Source organism: Homo sapiens, chromosome 10 (assembly GCF_000001405.40).
Source record: "Homo sapiens chromosome 10, GRCh38.p14 Primary Assembly".
NCBI lineage: Eukaryota > Metazoa > Chordata > Mammalia > Primates > Hominidae > Homo > Homo sapiens.
In genome coordinates, this window is record NC_000010.11 from 125935358 (window position 1) to 125962118 (window position 26761).

Genomic DNA, 26761 nt, shown 5'->3' on the forward strand with positions numbered 1-26761 from the left:
TTACATATTTACTTGATGAATGAATATATGAATGACTTCCTTCAACTAATTTTGTCTCTTACTTCCTAGTTGCCAGGTGGTATAAGACAGCAGGGTTATCATCTAATATATATTTGATGTGATAAGAAACTAAAGTCTTGTTGGGAACTTCAGTCTCAATTGGGGCAAATCAAGATTTTGTGATTCTGAAGCAGTTTGGGGAGTTGTCTTTAAGAAAAAGAATGCTGATTATAAACACAAAAAAGATTATAAATCTGTCTTTTAGAATGCCAAAAAGTATAATTAAAAATATAAAAAGCTGACCAATGTCACAAATGTCATAACATTTGAAAAATAACATTTATTAACTAATTGTCCAATATATTTCTATAATATCTTCTCCTATATATTTTGGCTACATGTTATTATGTTACCTTTGTATAACAATTCTGTCATAATAACTTCAGTGGCTGGAATAGAAAGATAATTAAGTCTTTCTATTAATATAGTAATTACACTTTTTTCTTTAGTCTAAAAATGTTAGACTTGCATAAATGTCTTGCTATATTATATGAAGACTACATTTTTAAGCTAATAAGGGCCACCAGTGAGGGAAAGGTTTACATACTTTCTTTACCTTCTCTGAATTCGTCATTAGGTAGTAGCATGTTTGATGGTAGATTTTCAACTACAGGAAAAGCATGGTACATATTGCTGGAGCATCAGTTTTACTTGTTAGTATATATGTAGAAACATTTTTATATTAGGACAAATGGAAACATCAGAGAATACTGTGCAAAATGTATAATTTAAAGCTCAAACACCAGACTTCATAAGGCTATAATTTTGACCTAATAGCTTGACACTTTTGAATCTAAGACAATAATCCTGATTTCCATCATAGTCTTTCCATTTGTTTGTAGGTATTTAGTTGAATTTAGTGATTTATTTTTTGTCCTTTTTTTCATTCCTTAACTGAAATTTAAACATAACTTTTTATAGAAATAAAAAGGATATACAGAAAAATGCACATATCATAAGTTTATGGCTTGCTGAATTTTCACAAAGTGAACCCACTGGAGCGAGATGCTGTCTCAAAAAAAAAAAAAAAAAAAAAAATTGCCACAACCCCAGAAGTACCTCCTCTTCTTCCTTTCCGGATTCAATCTCCATGCTTGCCAAGGAAACCACAGCCCTGACTTCTAACACCATGGGTTAGTTTTGCCAGCTTTTGAACTCTGTGTAAATAGAAGTATACAGTATGTACTTATTTGGATCTGACTTATTTTCCCCAACATTATGTTTGTAAGATTAATCCATATTGTTGTAGATAGTTGAAGATCCTTCTTTCTCATTGCTGTTCCATTAATATAGCACCATTTATTTATTCCAGTATTGATAAACATTTGTATAGTTTCTTGTTTTTGGCTATTATGAATAGTACCTCTAGGCTGGGCGTGGTGGCTCACGTCTGTAATCCGAGCACTTAGGGAGGCTGAGGTGGGTGGATCACCCGAGGTTGGGAGTTGGAGACCAGCCTGACAAACATGGAGAAACCCCATCTCCACTAAAAATACAAAATTAGCCAGGCGTGGTGGTGCATGCCTGTAATCCCAGCTACTCCGGAGGCTGAGGCAGGATAATCGCTTGAACCCGGATGGCGGAGGTTGCAGTGAGCAGAGGTCGCACCATTGCCCTCCAGCCTGGCAACAACAAAAGCCAAACTCCGTCTCAAAAAAAAAAATAAAATAATACCTCTATGAGCATTCTAGTACATGTTTGTTGGTAAACATATGTATGTATTTCTGTTGAGTGTATCGCTAAAAGTGGAAATGTTAGGTTATATGGTATGTATGTGACTGACTTTGGCTAGATATTGCCAAACAGTTGTTCAAGGTCGTGACTTATAATCTCACCCACAGTGTAAGGAAGTTCTTTTAATACATTGCATGATTGTATGAGAGATCTCACTGTTCCATCTCTTTACTGACACTTGGTATTTTCTGTCCTTTTAATTTTAGACTTTGTAGTACCTGTGAAAGCTGTTTGTCATTGTGGTTTTAATTTGGATCGTAGTTTATTACAGACATTTTCAAAAAGATTCTGCTTCACAACTTGTTTTTGGTATTGAGTCAATGTTTAGAATGTCATATTTGGAAAGACCTCTATCAACTTTTTTCATGTATAAGCTTTAAGATTTCAGGGTATTTCCCATATGAAGGAGTCTGATGGAATAAACTATGGTATGGACAATGGAGTACCACGCAACTATATTAAAAAATAAATAGGATGATCTCAGTGAACTGATGGGGAGTGATTTTATATGATATATAAAATGAAAACTGCAAAAGGTATAGCTAGAATGATGTATATACCTTTTGTGCATATGTATATTTATAGTATATAGGTTTTGCAAAAAATAAGCAAAAGGATAAATGAAACATGAATGAAATGAAATACCCACAACAGGAGGTGAGTGGGAATGAGGTGGAAGGGATAGGTGAGGGAACGGGGCTTAAAGCTGCCTATAAAAGTAACTTTAACACGCTTAACAGGTAGCTGCTAAACCACGCTAATGTTGTACCGATTCAAAACTAAACATTTACAAAGACGGAAAAAACTGAAATATCATACAAACAGAAGCAAGTAGACCTAGTTTATTGACAAGCCACACAGATATTCATTGAACTTGTAAACACATTTTTCAGACTCCATATGTTTATTGGTATATATATTCTAAAGACACAGACCGTAAAGGCCTACTGAACATTACTCAGTCTCTTGGTAGTTTTGATACTATTTTGTATGTATTCTGGGATTGAACAATTGAGAAACTATATCGATGCTTTTGGAAAACAGGATTCTCACTGCGGAAGAAAGAATATGTAAATATGGAAGGAAGAAAACAATATAGTCATGTTGGATTTGAACTGGAGTGAATAGTATGAATTTATGATTAAAAAAAAAATCCTGACTGTCCACTGAAAAGTCTAGAAACAATGATTGCCCAGTAGGAATGAGCACACAGTGTGAGACCTCAGTTGCTAAATATATTTCCCATTAACAGAAGTAGGAGAAATGGCTTAGCAAATTGGATGATCCTGGTATTGGGGCATGAAAACTACAAGGTGAGCCTAGAATATTCGGTGTGCCACGAAAGCAAAGAGGTGCTTTAAACATCTCTGGGGAGTGGCTGACACGGTGGTTTACACCTGTAATCCCAGCACTTTGGGAGGCCGAGGTGGGCGGATCACTTGAGGTCAGGAGTTCGAGACCAGCCTGGCCAACATGGTGAAACCTTGTCCCTACTAAAAATACAAAAATTAGCCGGACATGGTGGCAGGTGCCTGTAGTCCTGGCTACTTGGGAGGCTGAGGCAGGAGAATCGCTTGAACCTGGGAGGCGGAGGTTGCAGTGAGCCGAGATTGCACCACTGCACTCCAGTCTGGGAGACAGTGACACTCTGTCTCAAAAAACAAACACCCCCCTGCCAAAACTCTAGGGAGTGGTAAAAGTATACAGAACCAGCTTGAAGGGTCTCCCACTAGCCAAATTTGGAAGCATTTGAGCATCAAAAAGAATAATGTTAATACCTTCGCAGTGGAGAGATCTGGCAAACTCCACTGTAACCAAGTCATCAAGCTTAGAATCACTAATAATGAAACACACCAACATCACATGCCACCTGATATGATGTAGTGGAAAATATACAGTATCATCTATGTATTCTTTTTGCTAAAAGTGTTTAATTTGAATATAATTATGCACATACAATCAGACAAATTGTAGCATATTCCAGAACACAACTGGCCTGGACTCTTAAATGTGAATGTGAAAGACAACGAAAGATGGGCATCTGTTCTAGAATAAAGGAGACAGACACACCAGCTAAATGCAGTTTATGATTCTTCATTGAATCTGATGGATTGCAGAGAAAAAAAGAAACCTAGCTAAAAAGAAAAAGGACAATTGGGAGAAATTTGAATATGGACTACATATTCGATAATATTAAGTCAAGCTTTTCAGTGTAATGGTATTGGGTTATATAGGAGACTGTCTCAGGATATACATGCTAAAGTACTTAGAGAAGCATTATGATATTTGTAACTTAAATGGTTCTGTGAAAAATAAAAGTGTACACATATCAGAATAAAGCAAATGTGGCAACATTTTAAGAATTCATTGCAATATTCTTTTATCTTTCTGTAGGTATAGAATTTTTGAAATAAGTTAGAACAGTGATTTCAGGGCATTTTAAATATTTTTGTGCAGTGACTAATCCCCGTATCTCTTTAAATTAAGGATACTAATTTACCATTTTGTCATCTATGGTTCCCTAATAGGAAACCTGTTAATATAACTCATGGTATTAATAAATCCAAAGAATGATGAAGAGGCATTCATAAGTCTAAATCCTTTCTAGTTTAAAAATACTTTTAAAGTAGGAAAATACAGATGATTGCCTTACATAATAAAATTATATATATTTCATTCTAAATGCTAACATCATGCTTTAAGGTAGCAGAACCTAGAAGCATTCTTATTAAAGACAGGGTCAATAAAATAAATAATTTCTACTGTCATTATTATTATTATTATTTTTTTTTTTTTTGAGACAGAGTCTCGCTCTGTTGCCCAGGCTGGAGTGAAGTGTCATGATCTCGGCTCACTGCAACCTCCACCTCTTAATCTTAATCCATTTAAATGTGAAAGGCAAAACAAAAACTTTTGGAAGATATGTCAGTGAAGGGGTAGCCTGTCGCTCCACACCTGTGGGTATTTCTCATCAGGTGGGACAAGAGACTGAGAAAATAAATAAGACACAGAGACAAAGTATAGAGAAAGAACAGTGGGCCCAGGAGACCGGTGCTCAGCATACGGAGGACCTGTACCAGCACCGGTCTCTGAGTTTCCTCAGTATTTATTGATTACTGTTTTCACTATCTCAGCCAGAGGAATGTGGCAGGAGAACAGGGTGATAGTGGGGAGAAAGCAAGAAAACATGTGACCAAAGGAACTCTGTGTCACAAATAAGTTCAAGGGAAGATACTATGCCTGGATGTGCACGTAGGCCAGATTTATGCTTTTCTTCACCCAAACATCTCAGTGTAGTAAAGAGTAACAGAGCAGCATTGCCGCCAGCATATCTCGCCTCCAGCCACAGGGCGGTTTTCTCCTATCTCAGAATAGAACAAATGTACGATCGGATTTTATACCGAGACATTCTGTTCCCAGGGGCACGCAGGAGACAGAGGCCTTCCTCTTGTCTCAACCTCAAGAGGCCTTCCTCTTTTACTATTCCTCCTCAGCACGGATCATTTACAGGTGTCGGGCTGGGGGATGGTCAGGTCTTTCCCTTCGCACGAGGCCATATCTCAGGCTGTCTCAGTGGGGAGAAACCTTGGCCAGTACCCAGGCTTTCTTGGGCAGAGGTACCTGCGGCTTTCCGCAGTGCGTTGTGCCCCCTGCTTAATCAAGAACGGAGAATGGCGATGACTTTTACCAAGCATACTGCCTGTAAACATATTGTTAACAAGGCACATCCTGCACAGCCCTAGATCCCTTAAACCTTGATTCCACACAACACATGTTTCTGTGAGCACAAGGTTGGGGCTAAAGTTACAGATTAATAGCATCTCAAGGCAAAACAATTGTTCAGGGTACAGATCAAAATGCAGTTTCTTATGTGTTCCTTTTCTACATAGACATGGTAACAGTCTGATCTCTCTTTTCCCTAGAGTCAGAAAATACATTTCTAAACTTGGGATAGGAAATAACATTTTCACAAAGGTAAACTGTAAAGAAAGTGAAATAATAAGACACAATCCTGCAGAAGTTCTATATTTGCAACATATCTAACAGGATTAGATTTCAGACTACATAAAGAATTTCTACAAGTCAATTAAAATACATCCAGTGAAAAAACAAGCAACATATGGACAATAGACATTTTGCAGAAGAAGCAATTTGGCAAATAAAATCACGGGAAGGCATTAAAGCTGTTTGGAAAACAGGGAAATAAGACCATCGTAAGATACGATTTTGCATCTACAGGACTGGCAATAATTAAGTCTGATAATGGATTATGGGTCAGTGGAAACTCATACTTCTGGGGAAAGTGGAAATTAGTATAATCACTTCGAGAAACAATTTGACATTATCACATAAGTTTGAATATTTGTGTAGCTATTGACTAATAGATTTCACTGCTATGTCTAGGCCACAAAGAAACCTTCATGTGGATACCAAGAAACCAAGAATGTTCATAGCTGTATGGTCTGCAGTAGCAAAAACCTAGAAATGACCACATGCCCATTGTGAGGAGCCTGAGTACATTATGGTATATTCACATGATGAAATATAACACAGCAATGGAAAAGTGTGAACCACGGCTACTCACAACTTGATATATCCCAGTAACATGACATTTAATAAAACAAGTCTCAAAATCATACCATTTGATACCATTGTTATAGTGGCATTAGCATTGTAGCAGCAAAGCCAAACAATACGGAAGAATTCATATTACAATGTTATTTCACTTTTATAAATCATAGGGATAATGTATGCAAAACTGGTGGTGGTGTCTTTGGGGGTTATTCAGGGCAATAGGATGGGGCCAGCACACAAGTGGGGCCACTGGTATTAGTAATGTTCTGGCCTTCAGATGGGGGCTGGTTCCCAGCATGTGCCTTTTACATTTTATTAGGGATGGGGTCCACACACCCTTCTGATGTGAAATGTCATGATAATGATGAAGGAAAACTAAATAAGAAATAGCCTCTGTATATAAAGAGTAATCAGAGTTAATATAGGAAGGGAACTTCCTAGATAAAATGCTAGGAGTAAATTTCATGGGCAGTGTGCAAGAGCATTGTGAAGACATTGAGAGTCTGCCGAGAGCCACAAAGGAAACTTGAACAAAAAGTCACAATTTGTTCTTAGAAAAATTTATTCTCGATGGATTGATAGGTGCAGCAAACCACATGGGACATGTTTACCTACGTAACAAACCTGCACGTCCTGCACGTATATTCCAGAATTTAAAAGAACAATTTATTCTTATAAAGATGTCAATTCTCCCTGACTTCATAGGCTTAACATTTTATAACAATTTTAGAGTTTTTTCCCCAATCTGGACAAGCTGAGAACTCTCAGCAAATCTTAAACGATTTGAGGAGGAGGACATTTTTTAACGAAAAGAATACAAAATTAAGAAAACGAAATTAGGTAGAAAAGCTAACATTAACTAAAAACAAGAAAATAAATTACAAATATTTAAAAGCTGACAAATATAAAACATTACCAACTTAAATTCAGAAAAATATTTTTATTAATCGACTGCTTGATACACCTGTTATATTTTTCATTTTACTAACTGAATTATCAAATCTACAAGCTTATTTGCTACTTCTATTTGAAGTTTGTGTCTTTAATTACTGCTTTTCATTAGATCTGAAATTTTTTTATAATTTGCTTTTTTTTTTTTTTTTTTGAAATGGAGTCTTGTTCTGTCACCCAGGCTAGAGTGCAATGGCATGATCTCAGCTCACTGCAACATCTGCCTCCCGGGTTCCAGCAATTCTCCTGCCTCAGCCTCCTGAGTAGCTGGGATTACAAGCGTGTGCCACCACACCGGGCTAATTTTTGTATTTTTAATAGAGATGGGGTTTCACCATATTGGCCAGGCTGGTCTCGAACTTCTGACCTCGTGATCTGCCCACTGCGGCTTCCCAAAGTGCTAGGATTACAGGCGTGAGCCACTGTGCCCAGACTATAATTTGCTGCTTGATGTCAGAATAATTTCTATTAATTTCATTGTTCATCTTTAATCACCATTGTTTCATAGTCCAGTAATTTTCTGTATTTTCTGTTAAACTCTTCATATGTCTAAATCAGGAATCAGACATTTTTCATTTTTTTTTCTAAACTAGCCTAAAATTGTTTTTCTAAATTGCAGTTAAAATGGCATATTTGACCTTTGGTAACTTTTAAAATATTGACATATAATTAATATACCACAAAACTCACCCTTTAAAAATATGCATGATTCGGTGGCTTTTTATTATATTCACAAAGTTGTACAATAATCACCATTATCTATCTTCAACATTTTCATCACCCCCAGGAGAAATCTCATAACCATTAGAAACCATTCTCCCTTTTCCTCTTCTTCCAGCCCTTTGCAACCACTAATCTACTTTGTCTGATTTGCCTATTCTGGACATTTTGTATACATAGAATTATACAATATGTGACCGTTTGTGCAATGTTTATTAAATTTTGAATGAACTCTCTATTCATGCTCAGGTGTTCCTTCTGAGTCAGAAAATATATTTTAGAGTCTTTAAGATGTTGTGTACTTTGTGCTACAAGATCTCAATGCTTTATAATGGGCAAACCACCTCACTATCCTTAGACCCTTGAATACTAAGTTGGCATGGGTGATTAAAATACTACATGTAATGTAAAAGATAAATTCAAGAAGAACGTGTAACTTGGAAAATCTGAAGTAGTCAGCAACTTTAGGGACTGGGAAGGCAGCTTTCCCAGGGATAACTAAGTGATAAAGCGAACTGCGTCCAGAATATATTTTAAGTACTTACTAATGTGAAAGCATTGTGGAATCTTCACGTCTTCTAAAAGTCACGTTTTTACGTGACTGATTGCAAATGCAACATAAGGTTAAAGTTGCTCAGAACTTATTTCATTCTGTTGAAAAGACAAAACTGCGTTTGAATTATTCTTGTGTATACTTTAATTTCAGATGAATTTTGACAGTTAAAAGTTGGTTTGCTGTAGAACATGATTTTTCTGTTTTAGAGTAGCACACGATAATGGCATACATAAAGCAATTTGCTACTGGAGAATTTGTAGCAATATTTGATGTTTGGTTTATTTACTTATTTGAGTTCCCACTTTATTTTGTACATATTTTCCCTTATTTTGATTAATTCTCCATGAGCTATTTTGGATAAATAAAAGTCATATTTGTCCTTCTACCTTTATAGTTTTCCAGGCACTCATGTAAAAATTGATCAAATCTAGAAATCAATTGGGTGATTCCTAGAAATTTCTGTTACTTGAAGAACACAACTTTTTCATTGTGATCTCTGATGAATAAACCTTTTTCACTTAACAATTCAATACCTTCCTGTTGGGAGCAGGCCCCCCAAAATCTGGCGATAAACCAGCCCCAAAACTGGCCATAAACAATCTCTGCAGCACTGTAACATGTTCATAATGGCCCTAACGCCCAAGCTGGAAGGTTGTGGGTTTACAGGAATGAGGGCAAGGAACACCTGGCCTGCCCAGGGTGGAAAACCGCTTAAAGGCATTCTTAAGCTACAAACAATAGCATGAGCGATCTGTGCCTTAAGGACATGCTCCTGCTGCAGTTAACTAGCCTAACCTATTCCTTTAATTCGGCCCATCCCTTCCTTTCCCATAAGGGATACTTTCAGTTAATTTAACATCTATAGAAACAATGCTAATGACTGGTTTGCTGTCAGTAAATACGTGGGTAAATCTCTGTTGGGGGCTGTCAGTTCTGAAGGCTGCGAGACCCCTGATTTCCCACTTCACACCTCTGTATTTCTGTGTGTGTGTCTTTAATTCCTCTAGTGCTGCTAGGTTAGGGTCTCCCCAACCGAGCTTGTCTCCACACCTTCCACTGTTCTTCTTAGTACTTCAGCATAATACTGTATGTTCCTTCTTTGTCCTGCAAGACAACGGTAAAGTGCATTATAATTAATTTATGTGTAATCCAAGTAAACAAGCCTCATTGTGTTGTATGTGTCTTATGATTAAGAGCTCAATACATTTAATCTAGTCTGACAGTTTGCCTGGTGTAAGTCATGTGTGTCTTGTTAAAAAAAATTTAATAAGAACAAAACAACTGGGGGGAGGAGCCAAGATGGCCGAATAGGAACAGCTCCGGTCTACAGCTCCCAGTGTGAGCGACGCAGAAGACGGGTGATTTCTGCATTTCCATCTGAGGTACCGGGTTTGTCTCACTAGGGAGTGCCAGACAGTGGGCGCAGGCCAGTGGGTGCGCGCACCGTGCGCAAGCCGAAGCAGGGCGAGGCATTGCCTCACTTGGGAAGCGCAAGGGGTCAGGGAGTTCCCTTTCCGAGTCAAAGAAAGGGGTGACAGACGCACCTGGAAAATCGGGTCACTCCCACCCGAATATTGTGCTTTTCAGACCGGCTTAAAAAACGGCGAACCACGAGATTATATCCCACACCTGGCTGGGAGGGTCCTACGCCCACGGAATCTCGCTGACTGCTAGCACAGCAGTCTGAGATCAAACTGCAAGGCGGCAGCGAGGCTGGGGGAGGGGTGCCTGCTATTGCCCAGGCTTGCTTAGGTAAACAAAGCAGCCAGGAGGCTCGAACTGGGTGGAGCCCACCACAACTCAAGGAGGCCTGCCTGCCTCTGTAGGCTCCACCTCTGGGGGCAGGGCACAGACAAACAAAAAGACAGCAGTAACCTCTGCAGGCTTAAGTGTCCCTGTCTGACAGCTTTGAAGAGAGCAGTGGTTCTCCCAGCACGCAGCTGGAGATCTGAGAACCGGCAGACTGCCTCCTCAAGTGGGTCCCTGACCACTGACCCCTGACCCCCGAGCAGCCTAACTGGGAGGCACCCCGCAGCAGGGGCACACTGACACCTCACACGGCAGGGTATTCCAACAGACCTGCAGCTGAGGGTCCTGTCTGTTAGAAGGAAAACTAACAAACAGAAAGGACATCCACATCGAAAACCCATCTGTACATCACCATCATCAAAGACCAAAAGTAGATAAAACCACAAAGATGGGAAAAAAACAGAACAGAAAAACTGGAAACTCTAAAACGCAGAGCACCTCTCCTCCTCCAAAGGAACGCAGTTCCTCACCAGCAACGGAACAAAGCTGGATGGAGAATGACTTTGACGAGCTGAGAGAAGAAGGCTTCAGACGATCAAATTACTCTGAGCTACGGGAGGACATTCAAACCAAAGGCAAAGAAGTTGAAAACTTTGAAAAAAATTTAGAAGAATGTATAACTAGAATAACCAATACAGAGAAGTGCTTAAAGGAGCTGATGGAGCTGAAAACCAAGGCTCGAGAACTATGTGAAGAATGCAGAAGCCTCAGGAGCTGATGTGATCAACTGGAAGAAAGGGTATCAGCAATGGAAGATGAAATGAATGAAATGAAGTGAGAAGGGAAGTTTAGAGAAAAAAGAATAAAAATAAATGAGCAAAGCCTCCAAGAAATATGGGACTATGTGAAAAGACCAAATCTACGTCTGATTGGTGTACCTGAAAGTGATGGGGAGAATGGAACCAAGTTGGAAAACACTCTGCAGGATATTATCCAGGAGAACTTCCCAAATCTAGCAAGGCAGGCCAACGTTCAGATTCAGGAAATACAGAGAACGCCACAAAGATACTCCTCGAGAAGAGCAACTCCAAGACACATATTTCCTCATAATTGTCAGATTCACCAAAGTTGAAGGAAAAAATGTTAAGGGCAGCCAGAGAGAAAGGTCGGGTTACCCTCAAAGGGAAGCCCATCAGACTAACAGCGGATCTCTGGGCAGAAACCCTACAAGCCAGAAGAGAGTGGGGGCCAATATTCAACATTCTTAAAGAAAAGAATTTTCAACCCAGAATTTCATATCCAGCCAAACTAAGCTTCATAAGTGAAGGAGAAATAAAATACTTTACAGACAAGCAAATGCTGAGAGATTTTGTCACCACCAGGCCTGCCCTAAAAGAGCTCCTGAAGGAAGCGCTAAACATGGAAAGGAACAACCGGTACCAGCTGCTGCAAAATCATGCCAAAATGTAAAGACCATCAAGACTAGGAAGAAACTGCATCAACTAACAAGCAAAATAACCAGCTAACATCATAATGACAGGATCAAATTCACACATAACAATATTAACTTTAAATGTAAATGGACTAAATTCTCCAATTAAAAGACACAGACTGGCAAATTGGATAAAGAGTCAAGACCCATCAGTGTGCTGTATTCAGGAAACCCATCTCATGTGCAGAGACACACATAGGCTCAAAATAAAAGGATGGAGGAAGATCTACCAAGCAAATGGAAAACAAAAAAAGGCAGGGGTTGCAATCCTAGTCTCTGATAAAACAGACTTCAAACCAACAAAGATCAAAAGAGACAAAGAAGGCCATTACATAATGGTAAAGGGATCAATTCAACAAGAAGAGCTAACTATCCTAAATATATATGCACCCAATACAAGAGCACCCAGATTCATAAAGCAAGTCCTGAGTGACCTACAAAGAGACTTAGACACCCACACATTAATAATGGGAGACTTTAACACCCCACTGTCAACATTAGACAGATCAACGAGACAGAAAGTCAACAAGGATACCCAGGAATTGAACTCAGCTCTGCACCAAGTGGACCTAATAGACATCTACAGAACTCTCCACCCCAAATCAACAGAATATACATTTTTTTCAGCAGCACACCACACCTATTCCAAAATTGACCACATACTTGGAAGTAAAGCTCTCCTCAGCAAATGTAAAAGAACAGAAATTATAACAAACTATCTCTCAGACCACAGTGCAATCAAACTAGAACTCAGGATTAAGAATCTCACTCAAAGCCACTCAACTACCTGGAAACTGAACAACCTGCTCCTGAATGACTACTGGGTACATAACGAAATGAAGGCAGAAATAAAGATGTTCTTTGAAACCAACGAGAACAAAGACACAACATACCAGAATCTCTGGGATGCATTCAAAGCAGTGTGTAGAGGGAAATTTATAGCACTAAATGCCCACAAGAGAAAGCAGGAAAGATCCAAAATTGACACCCTAACATCACAATTAAAAGAACTAGAAAAGCAAGAGCAAACACATTCAAAAGCTAGCAGAAGGCAAGAAATAACTAAAATCAGAGCAGAACTGAAGGAAATAGAGACACAAAAACCCCTTCAAAAAAATCAATGAATCCAGGAGCTGGTTTTTTTGAAAGGATCAACAAAATTGATAGACCACTAGCAAGACTAATAAAGAAAAAGAGAAGAATCAAATAGACACAATAAAAAATAATAAAGGGGATATCACCACCGATCCCACAGAAATACAAACTACCATCAGAGAATACTACAAACACCTCTACGCAAATAAATTAGAAAATCTAGAAGAAATGGATAAATTCCTCAACACATACACTCTCCCAAGACTAAACCAGGAAGAAGTTGAATCTCTGAATAGACCAATAACAGGATCTGAAATTGTGGCAATAATCAATAGTTTTCCAACCAAAAAGAGTCCAGGACCAGATGGATTCACAGCTGAATTCTACCAGAGGTACAAGGAGGAACTGAACTGGTACCATTCCTTCTGAAACTATTCCAATCAATAGAAAAAGAGGGAATCCTCCCTAACTCATTTTATGAGGCCAGCATCATTCTGATACCAAAGCCAGGCAGAGACACAACCAAAAAAGAGAATTTTAGACCAATATCCTTGATGAACATTGATGCAAAAATCCTCAATAAAATACTGGCAAAACGAATCCAGCAGCACATCAAAAAGCTTATCCACCATGATCAAGTGGGCTTCATCCCTGGGATGCAAGGCTGGTTCAATATACGCAAATCAATAAATGTAATCCAGCATATAAACAGAGCCAAAGACAAAAACCACATGATTATCTCAATAGATACAGAAAAAGCCTTTGACAAAATTCAACAACCCTTCATGCTAAAAACTCTCAATAAATTAGGTATTGATGGGATGTATTTCAAAATAATAAGAGCTATCTATGGCAAACCCACAGCCAATATCATACTGAATGGGCAAAAACTGGAAGCATTCCCTTTGAAAACTGGCACAACACAGGGATGCCCTCTCTCACCACTCCTATTCAACATAGTGTTGTAAGTTCTGGCCAGGGCAATTAGGCAGGAGAAGGAAATAAAGGGTATTCAATTAGGAAAAGAGGAAGTCAAATTGTCCCTGTTTGCAGACAACATGATTGTATATCTAGAAAACCCCATTGTCTCAGCCCAAAATCTCCTTAAGCTGATAAACAACTTCAGCAAAGTCTCAGGATACAAAATCAATGTACAAAAATCACAAGTATTCTTATACACCAACAAAAACAGAGAGCCAAATCATGAGTGAACTCCCATTCCCAATTGCTTCAAAGAGAATAAAATACCTAGGAATCCAACTTACAAGGGATGTGAAGGACCTCTTCAAGGAGAACTACAAACCACTGCTCAAGGAAATAAAAGAGGATACAAACAAATGGAAGAACATTCCACGCTCATGGGTAAGAAGAATCAATATCGTGAAAATGGCCATACTGCCCAAGGTAATTTACAGATTCAATGCCATCCCCATCAAGCTACCAATGACTTTCTTCACAGAATTGGAAAAAAACTACTTTAAAGTTCATATGGAACCAAAAAAGAGCCTGCATCGCCAAGTCAATCCTAAGCCAAAAGAACAAAGCTGGAGGCATCACACTACCTGACTTCAAACTATACTACAAGGCTACAGTAACCAAAACAGCATGGTACTGGTACCAAAAGAGAGATATAGATCAATGGAACAGAACAGAGCCCTCAGAAATAACGCCGCATATCTACAACTATCTGATCTTTGACAAACGTGAGAAAAACAAGCAATGGGGAAAGGATTCCCTATTTAATAAATGGTGCTGGGAAAACTGGCTAGCCATATGTAGAAAGCTGAAACTGGATCCCTTCCTTACACCTTATACAAAAATAAATTCAAGATGGATTAAAGACTTAAACGTTAGACCTAAAACCATAAAAACCCTAGAAGAAAACCTAGGCATTACCATTCAGGACATAGGCATGGGCAAGGACTTCATGTCCAAAACACCAAAAGCAATGGCAGCAAAAGCCAAAATTGACAAATGGGATCTAATTAAACTAAAGAGCTTCTGCACAGCAAAAGAAACTACCATCAGAGTGAACAGGCAACCTACAAAATGGGAGAAAATTTTCGCAACCTACTCATCTGACAAAGGGCTAATATCCAGAATCTACAATGAACTCAAACTAATTTACAAGAAAAAAACAAACAACCCCATCAAAAAGTGGGCGAAGGACATGAACAGACACTTCTCAGAAGAAGACATTTATGCAGCCAAAAAACACATGAAAAAATGCTCATCATCACTGGCCATCAGAGAAATGCAAATCAAAACCACAATGAGATACCATCTCACACCAGTTAGAGACAACAGGTGCTGGAGAGGATGTGGAGAAATAGGAACACTTTTACACTGTTGGTGGGACTGTAAACTAGTTCAACCATTATGGAAGTCAGTGTGGCGATTCCTCAGGGATTTAGAACTAGAAATACCATTTGACCCAGCCATCCCATTACTGGGTATATACCCAAATGACTATAAATCATGCTGCTATAAAGACACATGCACACGTATGTTTATTGCGGCATTATTCACAATTGCAAAGACTTGGAACCAACCCAAATGTCCAACAATGATAGACTGGATTAAGAAAATGTGGCACATATACACCATGGAATACTATGCAGCCATAAAAAATGATGAGTTCGCGTCCTTTGTAGGGACATGGATGAAATTGGAAATCATCATTCTCAGTAAACTATCGCAAGAACAAAAAACCAAACACCGCATATTCTCACTCATAGGTGGGAATTGAACAATGAGATCACATGGACACAGGAAGGGGAATATCACACTCTGGGGACTGTGGTGGGGTGGGGGGAGGGGGGAGGGATAGCAATGGGAGATATACCTAATGCTAGATGACGAGTTAGTGGGTGCAGCGCACCAGCATGGCACATGTATACATATGTAACCTGCACAATGTGCACATGTACCCTAAAACTTAAAGTATAAAAAAAAAAAAAAGAACAAAACAACCAATATGTATATATTTTGGAATAGACTGGCCAAGATCTTATAACTATTTGCTCATATTTTTTATAATACCTGTTTAGGAAACATTTAAACAAATCCTTTATGTTCTGCTTGATTCTCTGTAAATAGGAATCATGATTTTGGAGGCAGAAAAATTTGCAACTTCACAGTGTTGCTGTGAGTTGCTCATTGTGACAGGCAAGGATGAAAGTTCAAGGTACTTAGGGACGGAAGTCAACACATTCATTGAAACAAGGCTGTGCTGACTGTAGAAATTGTTTTCTGTTTGGAAGGTTTTGTTTTCTGTTGGGAGTATTCTGATTCTCAGTCTTACTTCTCTTCTGTTATTACCAACATTTTGTTGGTGATCATGATTCTTAATGAAACAGTTCTGCATACCATTTCAACCATCAGAGTTTTTAGTCTCCATTGTTTTATAGGAGTGTTCTTGACATTTTGAGGCTCCTGCCAATCTTCATTCTTTCAATTTCCTTTTTTGGTTTCCACTAAGATACCTTCCGTTGAGTTTAAATTTTAGAATGATCAATAATTGTGGAAAAAAATTCATCTGAAATTGAGACACACACAAAAGCAATTCAAATGCATTTAAAAACTGCCACTGTGTTCAGTTGAGCCCTGTAATTGTGTAACCAAATTATTCTTGTACTGTAAATATTGAATTATTGATGGGATACATGTGGGCGTTTTTCACTGGAACATTTGTTTCTTCAGGCCACTTTGCTATATTGGTGGCAATTTTGCATGCTGCTTTATCTGGAACTGTCAGACTTTGTGGGGACAAGATGTGTCAGATAAGTTCAGGTGTGCATAAATCAGGCAGCCTCATCCCAAGTTGTACTTACTATTTGTTGTAATATTTGGTGTTTGTGTCCTACAAACCCAGGAATTTTCACAAATTTTATTTCATGTGATTTGCTTTAAAAAAAAAAGCGTGGTGTGTTTATAATTATGTACACTATTTTTTGAGTATCTTTCTTGACAGGTGAAAACTTTTATTTTAACTAGGTATCAATAAGAACCAAATTCTCTGCTTAAAATTGTAAAACTTTGGTGTTTGGGTGTTTGCCCGAAATGTCAGGTCAGGGTTTAGATGCCAATCCTGCCGGTTTCTTGCCCTGAAAACCACTGAGCTGTATGATTTAAGTCAGTGAATTTATAGTGTGCAGATTTCATCTGAATAAAGCTGTTTAAAAAAAAGTTCAGAGAAGATGTTTTTTACTGAGCTCTGACCCAAACCAGGATCACCCTTGTGTGTATCAGGTGCTGGGGCTGGGGGATCTGGACACCAAAGCACTTCTCTGTGCCTGGAAAATTCCTATTTGCATTTTCCAGCAGCTCAGGTGTCATCTGGATGAAAATGTTCCTCGATGTCTGAGACAGAGTGGCCCACCCTCCTGGTTTGTATACCTCTGCTTGCCTCTCTCCTGTGGAATGGTACCTTGTTGTTGTTCTGTGAGTTGTTTGTCTCCCTCTGTCTCCCTTAAGACCTTTGCTGCTGTGGTGCCCAGCAGGAAATACATACACACACACACACACACACACACACACACACACACACACACACACACACACACACACACTGTTCTTACGTGCCTGATATGGTGGACTCATTAAAGGCTGGGGTGGCAGCTCTGGGGGAGTTAATTTGCTTTATCCCCATAGGGAGAAAGCTCAGTGTAGAAAATGCTGTGTTCTCTTCCTCACAGCTGCTGACTTCAGGATACTGGTCAGCCTCTGTTTCTTCGTAGTGGTTTTTAGACTTGCATGTGCATTGGAATGACCTGAAAGTCTGTTAACACGTGAAATGCTTGGCCCCAGCCTCAGAGTTTGGGTCAGTAGGACTGGTGTCAGAACTGATAATTTCCATTTCTAGCCAGTTCCCAGTGATAAGCCAGGAACCCTGCTTTGAAAACCACTTGGCCCCCCTGCCAGGGCTCACTTGTCTTGGGAGAGGGCTTGTGAAGGCCCCTCTGTTTGTGCAGTTTGGTGGTTTGCATCAGGCTCTATGGCTGAAGTTGGAACCTTCAAGAGGCCCCCCTAGATCCATGTCACTAGTCTAGTCTGAATGACTGTCTAGGGATTTCCAGACTTTGCTTTCCAGACCTCCTAAATAGAATGGAGTCACCTCAGGGTGACTGATCAGGGAGGTGGTGTGGGTGATGCTTCAGACCTCACCTTCTCACCAGATCAGCTCTGTTTTTATGTCTTAGGCACGAGGATCCTATAGGTGAACTTGTTTGGAGAATGAGTTCCTATGCGGGGGAAGAACCCCACATTTTTATGGTAACAACCTGGATTCTGGGCCCTACAAAGTGAGCAGCTTGTGAAAGCCCTGAGATTTCCTCTGAGCTGCAGGTCCCAGAAAGCCAGAGGGCCAGAATGCCTCTTGGTTGCTAAGTTGTATTTTTTTCATTTCAGAGAGAGCTACAACTCCAAATTCAGCATAGCTTTGTGGTTCAGATGCTGAAGTCAGACAGAGTTGGGTTCAGGTCCTGGCCCTGCCCCTCCTAGCTGGGCACGCTGCTGCTTCTGGGAGGCCTTTGTGTCTGTGCCTGTAACATGGGCCATGATTCTCTGCCTTCCCCATGGGCTGCTGTGAGTCTTGGATGAAATCTTTTGGAAGTAAAGCTCAGAGTCGCAAAGAAAATGAGCACTTAAAGGATTTCTCAGCAAGGCAAAATTTACTTCTGCAGAAGGGTGCTGCTCGCAAGTTTGGTCACCATGAGAGCACACCGAACGAAGGAGGGAAGGGGTTTTTATCCCTAACACAGTGTGTCCCTGCTGCTGTGTCCTATCTCCACTGTGGAGTTGGACCGTACAATCTAAGCAGAACCTGATTGGCTAACTTGAATGGTGCAGGAATGTGGTTACAATGGGGGAAGGGGCAGTTTTGGTGGGAAGAGCCATTGCGACAGGAGGGGTAATTTACAGAGCGGGTAGCAGATGTGGGCTCTGTAGATAAGGACCAGTGGGAAAGTTGTTTACTGAAACTGAGACAGGGAGGCATAAAGGATAAGGAAGTTAGTTTGGCCTTGGAAGTAGGGAACGAAGAGCAAGGATGCTGAACAAGCTAAACCTTTGAAGAGGAACTTCTTTTGTATCTAACAGATTGTAGATCCCAAACACTTGGCACAGTATCTGACCCATCATCAGTGCTCAGTTAAATATTAGTATTGTCATGATGGTTTTGTTATTGTAGTGAAAATTAGAACATTATTCTTAAAGGATCAATAATTTTTAAATGAAATAAATATGAAGACCTACTTGAAATCTCAGAAAAAATTTCAATAGTTCATGGATTTTTTTTTTCCTGTACTGGGCAAAATTGATTTTTCATTTTAAAAAAATAGAGAAAGGGGTCAGGTGCAGTGGCTCACGCCTGTAATCCCGGCACTTTGGGAGGCCAAGGTGGGCAGGTCACTTGAGGTCAGGAGTTCGAGACCAGCCTGGCCAACATAGTGAAACCCTGCCTCTACTAAAAATATAAAAATTAGCCGGGCCCAGTGGTGCACGCCTGTAGTCTTCAGCTACTTGGGAGGCTGAGGTGGGAGAATCACTTGAGCATAGGAGGCAGAGGTTGCAGCGAGCCAAGATTGTGCCACTGCAATCCAGCCTGGGCAACAGAGTAAGACTGTCTCAAAAAAATAAATTAAAAAAAGGGGAAGGAAAATGAATTAAAGGAGGATTTACGTAACTAAAAGACAGTTTTAAAAGAACAACTGCCGACACTCATAACATTAGCAGCAATCGCTTTAGCATTTTGTGTTGATTGCTTTGCTCCACCAAGAATATCTGTGAAACACTCATAATGCTCAAAGTTTTTTTTTTTTTTAATCTTCAACTTTTAAGTTCAGGGGTACATGTGCAGGATGTGTAGGTATGTTACATAGGTGTCATGGTGGTTTGCTGCACAGATCAACCCATCACCTAGGCATTAAGTCTAGCATCCATTAGCTATTCTTCCTGATGCTCTCCCTCCCCACCCACCTCCCCGACAGACCCCAGTGTGTGTTGGTCCCCCCCATGTGACCATGTGTTCTCATCATTCAGCTCATAAGTAAGAACATGTAGTGTTTGGTTTTCTGTTCCTCCATTAGTTTGCTGAGGATAATGGCTTCCAGCTCCATCTATGTCCCTGCAAAGGATATGATCTTGTTCCTTTTTATGGCTGCATAGTTGTAACATCAAAGTTGATGCATCTTATTATTGTGATCTTTTCAGACAGGGTCTTGCTGTGTCACCCAGGCTGGAGTGCAGTGGTGCGATCATGACTCACTGCAGCCTTGACCTCCCAGGCTCAAGAGATCCTCCCACCTCAACCTCCCAAGTAGCTGGGACTACAGGTGTATGCCACCACACCCAGCTAACTTTTGTCGCAGCAGATTTTCGCCATGTTTCTCAGTCTGTTCTCAAACTCTGAGGCTCAAGCAATTCTCATGCCTCACCCTCTCAAAGTGCTGGGATTACAGGTGTGAGCCACTGTGCCTGGCCCCATCTTATTTTTAAATGAAGTTTTAATAAGATCTCAGTTGTATGCTTCATCTCAAGTGATTATTCAGCTCCAAAACAAATCAAGTTCCTTCCAAGTACAAAAGAATCTATGTTCTAAGGCAGTGGAAGGAAGCAGGGTTGGGGAGGATATATCATGTTCAAGGAAAATGAAAAGAACTTAATGTTTTGAAAGACTTCTAGTCAACGGAACTATGACTCATTATCCTGGATGTGATGGGAGGTGGGGGGCATTTAAGCCCACATTCCCACTTCCATTTTAAAGTCAGAATCAGGAGGAAAATGGGGATTGAGATAAAGAATTTTGCTGTATCACAGTTTGGCTGAAAGGCGTTCTGCCTAGCAAGGATGCAGGTGATTTACACACGATCTACTCTTGAAGCTTAAACCAGTACTTCTATGATACATTTTTTGGGGGGGGGGCGGTGGTGGGGGTAAAGGGAGGAAACAACCAGGATGAGGATTGAATATATTTGAAAGGAGATTCAAAGTGATGTTTATTGAGCACTTCACTTTGGAAAAGCAAAAAATCAAAGGCTGTCTTAAAGATTGTACAGAAAATATGATTTATTGGAGATATCCCTTGCCTCCAAGCTCTAATGTTAAGCCTCCAAATATAATGCAAGTTATATTGGTATAGAAAATGGGAAGGAGCAGGCAGATTTATTATGTATGAGCATGAATAATTTTTATCTTTATTGCTTTCCCACTTCAGATCAAGTTGGAATTTTTAACTTTTCACCAAAGATTCTTTGGTTTTACAGAAAATATACCACAGGTACATGAAATGTAATATATTTATTGTATAGGTTTTTAATAGTAGAAAGTAATTTTATAGTTAGGCAGTTTAAAATTAAAATTATAGTTTAGTGGTCATAAGAGTTAGATCATTGTGTGGTAACCTGTGAGTGTGTTTATTTAGCAATGATGGTGACCATGAAGGGACTCGCTCAGGCCATTTAGGAGAATATCCGACAAGCCAGAAGGAAGATGATTTTAATAACCAGGAAAAACGTAAAACTCATTATAGATTTGTATAATAAGGGCGAGTTCGGGGTAGTATAGGCTTCTAATGTACAGTGACAATCTCGCTCTGTTGTCCAGGCAGGAGTGCAATGGCGCGATCTCAGCTCACTGCAACCTCCCCATCACCCTCCCGGGTTCAAGCGATTCTCCTGCCTCAGCCTCCCGAATAGCTAGCCGGGACTACAGGTGTGTGCCAGCACACCCGGCTGTTTTCTATTTTTAGTAGAGACGGGGTTTCACCATGTTAGCTAGGATGGTCACGATCTCCTGACCTTGTGATCTGCCTGCCTTGGCCTCCCAAAGTGCTGGGATTACAGGCGTGAGCCACCGCACCTGGCTTACTGTAGACATCTTTAACATATCACAATCTTCCTTCAAATAATACCCCACTGCTTGATGTTATGCACAAGAACCTTACGACAGTATTCTTCCAGGCCCCAGACTCTGTGCTGTTGTTATCCTCTATGTTGCTTTTGCATATCCTATTAACCTCACAAAACGTTGTTATTTTTGTTGTAGGCAGACAACATATTTTATATTTACCCACATACTTGCCTTTGTTAGGGCTCTTTGTTACTTTGTGTAGATCCAGATTTGTATCTTGTATGGTTTCTCTTCTGCCTGAGGAACTTCCTTTAACATTTTGTATGGTTCAGGTGTATTAGCGATGAGCTCTCTCAGCTTGGTTTATGTTAAGCTTTTATTTTGCCTTTATTTTTATTTTTTTGAGACGGAGTCTTGCTCTGTTGCCCAGGCTGGAGTGTGCTGGCATGATCTCCACTCACTGCAACCTCCATCTCCCAAATTCAAGCAATTCTCATGCCTCAGCCTCCCGAGAAGCTGGGACTACAGGCACCCGGCACCACACCCGGCTGATTTTTGTACTTTTAGTAGAGATGGGATTTTACCATGTTGTCCATGCTGGTCGCAAACTCCTGGCCTCAGGTAATCCCTTCGCCTTGGCCTCCCAAAGTGCTGAGGTTATAGGCGTGAGCCACCATGCCCGGCCTTGCCTTTATTTTTTAAAGATAATGTCACTAGGTAAAGAGTTCTAGTTTGACACACTTTCCTTCTGAGTACTTTTTTTTTAATATTTAAAAAATTGGTTTCTTTTACATTTTTAATTGACTTTTTTGGCCCATATTTATGGGGTATATAGTGATGTTTTGGTGCATAAAGTGTACAGTGATCGCATCAGGGTAATTAGCATATCGTCTGGAACATTATTTTGGGAGGGTGAACATTAAATATTCTCTTTCTAGCTATTTGAAACTATGTATTACTGTTAACTATAGTCATTCTACAGTACTGTAGAACTCTAGAACTAATTCCTCCTATCTAGCTGTAATTTTGTATCCTTTAGCAAACCTCTTCCTATCTCTCTGCTCCCTTTACCCTTCCCAGCCTCTAGTATCCTCTGTTCTCTTTTTTACTTCTGTGTGATCAACATTTTTTTTAGCTTCTGTATTAGTCTGTTTTCACATTGCTATGAAGAACTGCCCGAGACTGGGTAATTTAAAAAGAGGCTTAATTGATTCATAGTTCTGCATGGCTGAAGAGGCCTCAGGAAACTTACAATCAGGGTGAAAGAGGAAGCAGGCATGTCTTACGGGGTTTCGCCATGTTGGCCAGGCTAGGTCTCGAACTCCTGGTCTCAAGTGATTGGCCAGCCTTGGCCTCCTAAGGTGCTGGGATTACAGGCATGAGCCACCATGCCAAGCCTTTTGTAGTTTTTTGAGGAACCTCCATACTGTTTTCCATAGCGGCTATACTACTTTACATTCCCACCAAGAGTGTTTAAGAGTTCCCTTTTCTCTACATCCTCACTAGCATTTGTTATTTTGTCTTTTGATAATAGCCATCCTCCAGTGAGGTGATACCTCACTGTGATTTAGAGTTGCATTTCCCTTTATAATTAATAATGTTGAGCATTTAAAAAATATATTTCTTGGCCATTTGTTTGTCTTCTTTTGAGAAATGTCTTTAGATCATTTGCCTATATTTAAGTTGCATAGTTTGAGAATACAAACAAATGGAAAGACATCCCATGCTCATGGATCAGAGGAATTAATTTTTTTGAATTAAGCAGAAATTTTATTTCCAAGCTCTTTAAAGATTATTGCAAACACAAAGTTGTCTTCTGAAAGCCCCAAATCAAATCAAAGGCACGGCATCAAAATAAATAAAACACTTGTGACATTAAGAATTATTTTAGGTTGTAGTATTTTACATTACTTTGTTTTTAACTATTTACAATGTTCTTCGAGTCATATTTAAACATTTCTTAAGACATGAAATAGGCCGAGCATGGTGGCTCATGCCTGTAATCCCAGCACTTTGGGAGGCCAAGGTGTGTGGATTGCTTGAGGTCAGGAGTTCGAGACCAGCCTGGCCAACATGGTAAAACCCTGCCTCTACTAAAAATCCACACACACACACAAATTAGCTGGGCGTTGTGGCATGTACCTGTAATCACATATCACAGTTACTTGGGAGGCTGAGGCAGGGGAGTTGTTTGAACCCGGGAGGCTGAGGTTACAAGGAACTGAGATCATGCCACTGCATTCCAGCCTGAGTGACAGAATGAGACTCTGTCTCAAAAAAAAAAAAAAAAAAAAGATACGAAATAATGTATTTAGGTACAACCACAACTACAAGCAGAAAAACTTAAGAATACAAAGACTGAATCTGCTTCATCTAATCTATATATACGATGGGGCAACCTAATGCCCAACATAAAATTAATCTTTCTGGATGAGTTTGCTAAGAAACAGCTCCCGTGTTAAGTGTTAAAAAATGAAACAACCTTCTCATTTGGAAAAATCAAGGCATCAGTTAATTAGTAAAACCTACTCTTTTCCCCAGCAATTTGTACTTTCTTGCCTTCATTTAGAAATTGTAAATTCATGAGCAGAACACATTTTGTAGAATTTGGTATAAAAATATTTGTCAGGAGCAACAGATAACAAATATTCAATTTTTTAAATAAAATGTTTTCCTTCCTAAATGTAAACATCCAGTAAATAAAACATACATGATATTCTAGGTATAGAAACATCAGTAATTCACTTATGAAAGAGGTACATTTTGACGTATCTGGTGGTAAGGTTTTTGTCTTACATATAAAGCACTTCACCAAAAACAAACAAACAAAAAACCCATACTGTTATTATTTAGAGCTATATTTCTTCTCCCAGTTTCCTCAGTTGAGTAGAAACTCACCAATTTCTGTAGAATTTTGGTTATAGGACAAGGCTACAGGAAAGGTCTGAAATAACTATATGTCACTTGACTAGGGAAAAGCCTTCTCTTGAGGCTTGGAGGCAGTCATTTATCACTTTGTACTTGAAGGCATTCCTCTGCAGACTTCTTTCCTAGAGTCTTCAGGGTAAAGCACAGGATCTGGACTCCAGGAGGGGGGTTACTTCCTGCTGGAACACTGACCAGCAGGGCATCCTTTCAGGCATTCTGCATGCAGTACTGTTGCAGCTCTGCAGCTGCCTGAGAGACCTTGATCCTCTCCACGCCGACCTGCAGCTTGAGCTGCTCCACCAGGCGCTGCAGGGCACTCTTGCTGGCCCTGGAAGACATGGTAGCAGCAGTGTGCTCCAAGGGTGGTTGAGCCACGCTAGGCGGGTCAGCCCTGCCAGGCCCTGAGCGTGGGCACTGCCAATATTGTTGAAAGGACCATACTATCCAAAGCAATCTACAGATTCAATGCAATCTTTTGAGATGGAATCTCGCTCTGTTGCCCAGGCTGGAGTGCAGTGGTGCGATCTTGGCTCACTGCAAGCTCCACCTCCCGGGTTCATGTCATTCTTCTGCCTCAGCCTCCAGAGTAGCTGGGACTACAGGCGCCCACCACCATGCCCAGCTAATTTTTTTTGTATTTTTAGTAGAGACAAAAAATACAGTTTCACTGTGTTAGCCAGGATGGTCTCGATCTCCTGACCTTGTTATCTGCCCGCCTCGGCCTCCCAAAGTGCTGGGATTACAGGCGTGAGCCACTGTGCCCTGGCCTCAATGCAGTCTTTATCAAAATACCAATGACATTCTTCATAGAAATAAAAAAAATCTTAAAATTTATATTGAACCACAAAAGACTCCCAATAGCCAAAGCAATCCTGAGCAAAAAGAAAGCTGGAGGTATACACTGTCAGACTTCAAAATATACTACAAAGCTGTAGTAATGAAGACAGCATGGTACTGTCATAAAAACAGACACATAGACTAATGGAACAGAATAGACCACACAGAAAGTAATGTATTCGTCTACAGCCAACTGCTTTTTAAAAATTTTTTATTTTTTGAGACAGTGTCTCACTCCATCTCCCAGGCTGGAGTGCAATGGCATGATCATGGCTCACTGTAACCTTTACTTCCTGGGCTTAAGAAATCCTCGTACTTCAGCCTCCTGAGTAGCAGGGACTACAGGTACGTGCAACCATGCCTAGCTAACTTTTAAAAATTTTCTGTGGAGACAGAGTCTCACTATATTGTGTAGGCTGGTCTTGAAACCCCTGGGGTCAAATGATTCTCCTGCCTTAGCCTCCCAAAGTGCTGGGATTACAGGCATGAGCCACCATGCCTGGCTACCAACTGATTTTTGACAAAGGCAGCAAGAATACTCACTGGGGAAAGGATAATCTCTTCAATAAGTGATGCTGGGAAAACTAGATATCCATAGGCAGAAGAATGAAAATAGACCCTCACCTCTCACCCTATATGAAAATAAACTCAAAATGGATCAAAGACCTAAATGTAAGATCTGAAACTCAAAATGGATCAAAGACCTAAATGTAAGATCTGAAACCATAAAACTACTACAAGAAAACATAGGGGGAAGCCCTTCAGGACATTGGTCTGGGAAAATATTTTATGAATAAGACCTCAAAAGCAGTCAACAAATCACTTGAGCTCAGGAGTTTAAGACCAGCCTAGGCAACATAATGAGACCCTGTCTTTTCAAAAAATAAAAGTTAGCCAGATGTGATGGTATGTACCTGTAGTCCCAGCTACTCAGGGAGCTCAGGCAGGTGGATCACTTGAGTCCAGCAATCCAAGGCTGCAGTGAGCTACTATCAAACTACTGCCCCCTAGCCTGGGTGATAGAGCAGAAGCTTGCCTCTAAAAAACAAAAGCACAGGCAACAAAAGCAAAAGTAAACAAATGAGATTACATCAAACAAAAAAGCTTCTGCACAGCAAAGGAAACAATAAACACAGTGAAAGGGCAACCTACAGAATGGGAGAAAATATTTGCAAGCTATTCATCTGATGGGATTAATATCCAGAATATCCAAG

General features: G+C 40.0%; 1 protein-coding gene and 1 pseudogene across 3 annotated transcripts in view; one reads left to right on the forward strand and one right to left on the reverse strand.

Annotated features, from left to right (window-relative positions):
- The window catches only part of FANK1 (fibronectin type III and ankyrin repeat domains 1), a 113029-nt gene that overhangs the window by 38794 nt on the left and 47474 nt on the right, over window positions 1-26761 (forward strand). The window lies entirely within an intron of this gene.
- On the reverse strand, window positions 23538-25073 carry GNG10P1 (G protein subunit gamma 10 pseudogene 1; annotated as a pseudogene).